The sequence below is a fragment of the Homo sapiens genome, chromosome 2 (genome assembly GCF_000001405.40).
Source record: "Homo sapiens chromosome 2, GRCh38.p14 Primary Assembly".
Classification (NCBI taxonomy): Eukaryota; Metazoa; Chordata; class Mammalia; order Primates; family Hominidae; genus Homo; species Homo sapiens.
Genome location: NC_000002.12, coordinates 2,646,691 through 2,654,933, shown reverse-complemented (window position 1 = coordinate 2,654,933; position 8,243 = coordinate 2,646,691). Strand labels below are relative to the sequence as shown.

The window sequence follows — 8,243 nt, the reverse complement described above, 5'->3', positions numbered from 1 at the left end:
CAAATATTTGTTGGATACATGAGTGGCTTTAAGCAGTCATCCACTGATGGACACTTGAAGTGACTATGCAATACACTACATTGTATGTAAATCTTTTTGCTGTTAAAGCAAATCTTCAGTGTGACCTTTCCAGGTCAAAAAGTATGGATTTTAGTTGGCTTTTAATAAAAATAAATTATCTTCCAGAAATTCTTCTCTAACTTGTATTCTTGCCAACATATAAGAGAACTCTATTTTTTCACTTATTCCACGATACTCATTGGCATTTATTAATATTTTCATCTCTACCAATTTGATAGGTATGAATGGTAGATAGATTTTATCTTAATTTGAACTATAATTCTAATGAATTAGAATGTTTTCACATATTCTTCATTTATATTTTCAATTGCCTGTTCATTTTCTTTGACAGTGTTATTTTATTCTTATTTTTATTTTTGGTTAGGTTTCTTTATATTTTAAGGATATTGATCTGTCACATGTAGCAAATATTTTTCATTTGCCACTTGTCATTTAACATGGGTATAGCGTTTCGATACATAAAATATTACTCTTGTATATAGTCAAACATATTTATGTCTTTAGGACTTCTGGTATTTTGTGCATAGAAAGCTTGTGGCAATTTTAAATTAGAGCCTGCCTTAATAGCAGGATCGCCTTTTAAAAGAGCGTTCCTTCCTGAATTTAGGCTCTTCAGCATCCCTGCTGGAGAGGGGGAAGGAGCCATACATCTTTCAGGGTGGATTACAGTTCAGCCTCGTAGCAGAGACAAGACGTACAGCCCTTTTGTAAGGGCATATTGCAATGGGCACCTAATGCGGGCTGTGCCTTAGGATCCAACCAGCAATGAAATATTAAAGAGGGAAGAGCATTTCAGAGCAGAAAAGGCCATTCTGTCCTGCACACCTGTCCTCTTAAAATTTATCTTAATCCTGTGTTCCTGATGTTTTACCATCTGTCGACATGCCTTCCCTCCCTTGAAATAAGTCAGGGGCTTGAATTAATTTTTTGCTACATTTGCCTTGTCTCCTCATTTATTCCATATGTTCATTACCTTCAGTGTGCAGTCACTCCTGCCCAGATCTCTCAGCTTTCATCACAACTCTTTTATTTCTTTACTTTGGTCTACAAAATATGCTTTATTGTCCTTATTAATCCCTCTACTGATACCACCTCAAACTCTATTATTTGTCAAGAAAATTAGAGCCATTTTTAAAACCCTTATTATTTTATGCAGGCGAAATAAAAAGAGATATCTTCCAATGGACAATGTCTTCACCAAATTTATATCTTAGCCAAGTCTCACTCTGACAAGACTTGGAAATTTTCAAAAATCTGAACTTGTGATTTGACTCAGTAGGAAATGGAACTGTGGGAGAGAACACAGAAAGGCCATAAAAGCAGAGGACTCCAGAGGGTGTTGAATAGGAACAGGTTATTTAGAGCTCAGATTGCAATCACCGGCTCTCAGTGTTCCGTGCACAGGGTAAGTCCCATTAACTCTGATGGCAGATCACTCATGGGCATCGGAAGGGAGACCTTTCTGTGTGACTTACTGAGCTTCTCGCAGAGGGGAGGAGAAATGCAGCTTCCCTGCTCCTTGTCAGCCATTCACTTCTCACCTAGCCCTTGTCAGGTTTCTCCAAAGCTGCCTTCAGTGTCTTGGAGTCTTTTATTTAAACTGAACGGCCTGATGCCCTGATCTGAAGAAGAGGGCAGCATGTGCTGGGCTGAGCCGAGACTCCTGGGCAGACGGGCTTCGTGGCATTGAGGCTCTGCTGATGGTTCTTCCATTTCAGGAGACAGAGACTTGAGTTTTCTAATTTGGTATCAGAGGAAATAAGCATCATCCGTACAGTCAGGAGCTGGGAAATAGTAGTCAGGGAGCCCGCAGCCTAACTGTCTCTCTAAAATTTAAGTTGTGAAGTGTCATTGAATTATCTTGCTTCATTTGTTTTTTTAAACTGCTTTTGGAATGAGTTTAGATGTCAAAGCTGCTGGTTTATCACTTCAATGAGCAATGCTGGGCCAAGGCCATAACTTTGCCAATGTCATCAGTATTTATTGGACAACAGTGAGGCATTTGTCTGTAGACGCTGATACCAGGTGTGCAATCTATTTGGGGCAGCAGCTTAAAGTTAGGTAGGCACTTTGCTGTGGAAGCTAAAGGTCAAGTTGTGGAGATAGACAGTGAGTTGCAATTTGGCAAAGTCTGTGGTGTCCTGAGCATGTAGGGGGAGAAGCTGGTTCTGCTTGGCTTGTATCTGGAGGGTGGGAGGCAGACACGCCCCAGACCTGGGCTCCCTGGCTTGTATGTGTGGCCCTGTGGAGGACTGTGTGTCCTGTACTCTGAACAGAAGGCAGTGCATGTGCACACACACCCACAGTATAAATGCACACAAAGTATACATGTACACACACATGCCCACACATATAGCATTCAAGCACACACACAAATTTAGCATACATACACTCATGCTCACACACAACATACACACACAAATACATGCATAGAGTACACACATGTGCATACACAGCACACACACATGCATGCAGCATACACATATGCACACACAGAGCACACACACACATATAACACACATATATAGCAGACACACATACACATAGAGTGCATGCACACTATACACACACATCTAGTATGTAGGCACACACACTAGCACACACATAGCACACACATACATATAGCATAAATTCACACAGCATACAAACACACATGTTGCGCACACAAGCACATTGCAACATACACACACATCTCGTGCACATATGCACTCACATTGTGCATGAACATATATTATGTAGACACACACAGGCACACATACAGCATACACAAACACACACATAGCATACATACACATGCACACACATTACACATGTAGAACACGTGCACACATGCAAACACACACATAATATACAAGCACATTCACAAACATAGCATATCCCCATAAGCACAAGTGCAAATGTAGTATAAACACACATACAGAATACAAAACATGCACATGCACAACATACACACACATGCAAGCACATAGCATATACATACAAACACATAGCATGCACACACACAGTATTTAGGTACACATACAAATGCACATATAGCATACACACACAAAGAGTGTATAATCTACAGTCTGGTTTTATTTAAGAATCAGTATTCATCCAAATGGATGAGGACAACTCCTTTGAATTCCCTCTAGGGACTGTAAAAGTTGTTTTTCTTCCCAGCCTGCCTCCCTGCTTTCCCACAGTGACTCTTCTAACTGGCCCCACCCTGCAGCCAGGTCTGTGTCCCTGATTCCTGTTTGCCCAGCACAGGGCACTTTTCCCTCCCTGCTATTCTCTGTGTCTGAGTCTTTCTCAGGCCTCATGGCACCTGCTGCTGCAAATTTTTGCACCTGCCTCATTTCCTATAGAGGTCCGTGTGCAGGAGATCACGTCTAGACAGCAATAAAATCACTAGTATATCAGCATAGGCCAATTCTTCCTAACAGTGAAAAAAACACAAGCAACAGATTATTAAGGACCTGATGAAGACCCGCAAAACATTCTGTGACATCACCGGTACCCAAGGGCCCTCTGAGAACTTGTCCTGTGAGAGCACCATGCTGGGCACTGTGCAAGACGTGGGCAGAGCACGCCTGCTGCTTGGACCCGACGGAGATCTGTGCCGGGCAAGGGGCTGTTTCTCCTGCAGGCCATGGGAAGCCCGGGAGAACTCCAGCAGAGTGTGATGGGGTTTGCAGTGCAGCTCAGGTGGGTTACCCCAAGACTGTGTTGCAAAGGGGTTCAGGATCTGGGAAGCCACCTGACCCCTCAGAGATGCGGGGAGCCTGGGGAAGGCTGGCTGAGGCGCTGGAGAGGCACAAGGCTCACCTCTTGGGACCCACGCTATGTTATGCCCTGGCCTCCCAGGATCCTGCCCTTGGCATCGGGATTTTAAAAACTCAAATAGGACCCTCATCTTTCCCCAAACAACCTGTTAATAAAAAGTGTGCACATTTTGTCCAAGCAGGAATAACGTTTCTCTGATGGCTGTGTGGACCCTGCCTAACTGTGCAGAAATGCTGTATCATCAAATAGGGCGTCCAAGCCTGAGCGACAGAAATGCTCCGTCATTTACTCCACGGAATACATGTTGAACCCCTCTCCGCTAGGGTCTCCAGCTTGGGACAGAGGATCTGATGATTCCAGGCCCTGGTGCTGACATCCTGCGTTTGAGGAGGAGACAGGCAGGAGGCAAATGTGCCCATAATGCCTGAAACCGTCCTGTGTGCTGGGCCCTTGGTTGGGTCTCAGGGACGCAGCAGCAAGCAAATCAGATCTCAGGGACGCAGCAGCGAGCAAATCAGATCTCAGGGACGCAGCAGCGAGCAAATCAGATCTCAGGGACGCAGCAGCGAGCAAATCAGATCTCAGGGACGCAGCAGCGAGCAAATCAGATCTCAGGGACGCAGCAGCGAGCAAATCAGATCTCAGGGACGCAGCAGCGAGCAAATCAGATCTCAGGGACGCAGCAGCGAGCAAATCAGATCTCAGGGACGCAGCAGCGAGCAAATCAGATCTCAGGGACGCAGCAGCGAGCAAATCAGATCTCAGGGACGCAGCAGTGAGCAAATCAGATCTCAGGGACGCAGCAGCGAGCAAATCAGATGTGACCTCTGACCCCTGTCCTGCTCATAGGGCCTGGAGCCCTGTGGGTGAGACGGAGTCCCATTTCTACACGAGTAATTAAGCGCAGTTACAACAAGCACCAAGGTGAACAGGTGACAAAAGCCTCTTGGAGATGTCCAAGCTGAGCGGCAAGATGAAAGTGATCAGTGGGGCTTTAAGCAGGTCGAGGAAGGCGCTCATAGGCAGAGGAGGGCGTGGGGGAGGGCACCGTGTTCAGGGAGTCCAGGGGACTCAGACGGCCACAGAGGGTGTGTATTAGATAATCCAGGATGCTGGGCTGGACAGGTATCAGGAACATCACCATCAGCTCCCACGGCTGGGTCTAGGGTAACAGGAAGGCTTTCGCTCAGAGAGGGCGCATGGGTAACCAGGCTTCCGTGGGAAATGTTCCTGGGCCCACCTCAGGTGGAAGTGTGGAGCCTGTGCGGACGCTGGGGCAGAACCTGGGGAGGCCATGGGGAGAGGATTAGGTCAGCGCCCATGGGGTGCAGAGGCAGCGGCAGATAGAGGAAGCGCCTGAGAGGGAAACCAGCAGCACTTGGCGCTAAGTGGAATGTGAGGGCACAGGAGAGGAAACGTAGGCTGCCCTGGACAACCAGAGGCCGGATCTAGAGACAAGGAGAGATAGGCATGGCTGGGAACCCTTGAGGAACTTGAGCTATGGGTTCTAATGAGGCCCCTAAGGGTAACTCCGTGGTGAGCTGTGTCTGCATCTGCACTGGCGGCGTGACGTGGCGAGTGCCATGGATGGGCAGTGACACTGCTGGAATAAGGTTTTCCTGGGAGTGAGAACTGAAGGACCACAGCGTAGCCTGGGAACATCACTACACGTGGGGCAGGAGGATGCAGGGACTGCAAAGGAGATGCCGGGAGGTGGCTGCAGAGGCAGGAAGCTCAGGAAAGAGGCTGCCTGGAAACCAAATGAGGCTAGTGGGGAGGAGCAGAGTCCCACGTCCCACCACCGAGGAAGCAGGCAGCCCGAGTGCAGGTCCGCATCGTCGGAGTCTGGGCGTCTGGACAGAGAGGTCTTTCAGCAGCTCTGCCAACCTCAGCAGCCCACGGGGGCTGGATCCCGGCCGCAGAAGTGAGGGAGGGGAATGCTGCCTGTCCAGAGACGGGGCTGCAGAAGGACGGGGAGAAGCACAGCCTGCAGCAGGAGAGGGATGTGTTGTCGGAGGAGGTCCTGGCTTTGTGTTCTGCCATTAACGAAGTGGGGTCTGGGTGTAAGGCACTGAACACTCTCCAGCCTTAAGGAAAAGGAAGGATGCGGAGGCTGAAGGTGAAGCAGCCGAGGGAACACGGGACGCAGACGACCAGAGGGCCGGGTACATTCCCCATTCCCTTTCGACAGGAGCAGGAGACAGGAAGGGGAAGGCGTGGGAATGCAAACCAACAGATGAGCAAGCTTGGGCATAGAGTGAAATTATTAGAATCATTGTTCTTGTGTTTCTTGCCTAGTGATTTGCTAATTCTCTGCATAATAATACATGGGAAAGAGGAGTTTTTCTTTTTCTTTTTCTTTTTCTTTTTTTTTTTTTTTTTGAGACAGAGTCTCACTCTGTTGCCCAGGCTGGTGTGCAGTAGCGTGATCTCAGCTCACTGCAACCTCCACCTCCCAGGTTCAAGTGATTCTCCTGCTTCAGCTTCTTGAGTAGCTGGGATTACAGGCATGTGCCACCACACCTTGCTAATTTTTGTATTTTTAGTAGAGATGGGGTTTCACCATGTTGACCAGGCTGGTCTCGAACTCCTGACCTCAAGTGATCCACCTGCCTTGGTCTCCCATAGTGCTGGGGTTACAGACGTGAGCCACCGCGCCCAGCCGGAAAGAGCAGTTTTTCAAACACTCTAGCTGTCATCCGATTCTCTGAACAGTCTAGATAAGGGCAGGAGTTCATTTGTTCCATACATTCATTTTTTTCACAACTGTGCCCTGGGTGCTGACTCTGCACAGTGCTGGGTACCTGTTGGTCAGCCACAAACACGTGGCACCTTCCTTCCTGTGTGTCACTGCCTGTGAGTGGAGAAGGACAGAGATTCCCCCCGCCCCCAATATTCTTTTATCCCTTCTTAATTGTAAAATTTCAAATTCTTAGTGAGACACGTGGCCATCAAATATGAGATTATATTCCCCCATTTCCTCTGTAGACAAGAGAATGAGAATGGGCTCTGATCCAAAAGGCAGGAGCAGAAGAGTGGGGTTAAAATTCCAGAAGGTGCCTATATAAGGGAGAAGGCATCTCTGTTTCAGTCCCTTCCCACTTCCCACTGGCTGGAATAGGAATGCGAGGGCAGGAGCTCAAGCAGCCTTCTTGGAGCATGGGTCATGTCATGTGGGGATGGCTGAGGAGTGGACTTGAGGGAACCAGAGTCTCTGATGTTTGTGGAGCTGTCACACCAGCCCCAGACTGCTTATCTCTGAACTTATTTTATGTGAGGTAAAAATAAACCTCTGTCTTATTTAAGACCCAGTTATTTTCAGTGTCCTATTACTCACACAGCTGAAATTCTCCCAAATAATGTGGGTATACAGAAAATAATCATATAAACAAATAAGTATGCTATTATAGCTTGAAATAAGTGATCTGGTGGCAATGAACATCATGCAGTAATGTGGACGGAATGGGCAGGAGGGAGGGCATCCCTCAGAAAAGCTTGTCGGGGAAGACTTCGTTAAGATGAGATCTTAAGAAGAAAAGGAGTGAAAGCTACGAGGGTGGAGGGGAGAGAATTCCAAGCCGAGGGGATGGCTCATTTCCTGCAGGTGCACATGAGTCACCGCATGGATTACAGTTGTCAGGATTTCTGTCAGTAAAACATAATAATATGTACCTCTGAGGATGAGCGAACGCTTGCATGAGGCAAAAGCCAGCTTAAGCTGTGCACCCTCTGAGAGGAACACTTGGCCCACATGACCAGCTTGTGGGAGCGGCGCACACCATGGGTGCGGAGCCCAGGGCAGGTGTCCTCAGAGCTTCCTTCTCATTGGTCTTCTCAGGGTTCAGGTTTCTTCTCTCAAATCAGCTCCTCCAAGAGGCTGGGGCCTCTGGCCTCTGGCCACTTCCTGCTCTGAAACTGATATCTTCGTGACCAGCAAGAGAACAGTTTCTCTGTCTAGATTTTAAAATCTCCAGAATTGTGTATGAATTGTACCTCAATTTTTTAAGTCCCCAAAGAGTTTTCTGAGTGGCATCTCCTCTTGGGGCTACTCGGAGTGGGACAGCTAAGACATGAGGAGTTGGGGGACGGCCCAGATGGAAGGGTCAGGATCCCACCTGCAGGTGCTGAAAGGTGCAGGGAGAGGAAGGAGGGCTGGGAGGGAGGCACTAGCAATCTGAGAGCTGCCAGATCAAAGGGCTTTGCTTTCCATTTCACCGCAGTGATCTCCTTTAATCTGAACTCACATTGTGCTCTGGAGGAGGTGCCAGAAATGGGGTAAACACGTGGGCTCTGCAGTCAGAGATACCCAGACTTCAGTTTCTGTTCTGCCACTCACCAGCCACAGTAGCTTGATGAAATAAGACCATGTCTATACATGCATAACACAGTTTGTG

At 47.8% G+C, this 8,243-nt stretch overlaps 1 annotated feature.

The window, feature by feature from the left end:
- Positions 7,104–7,718: an enhancer, noted in NCBI's record as "H3K4me1 hESC enhancer chr2:2650988-2651602 (GRCh37/hg19 assembly coordinates)". NCBI's record gives its function as "activates a minimal SCP1, AML or CMV promoter by ChIP-STARR-seq in naive H9 embryonic stem cells {active_cell/tissue: H9 hESC(naive)}" and the evidence as "EXISTENCE:reporter gene assay evidence [ECO:0000049][PMID:30033119]".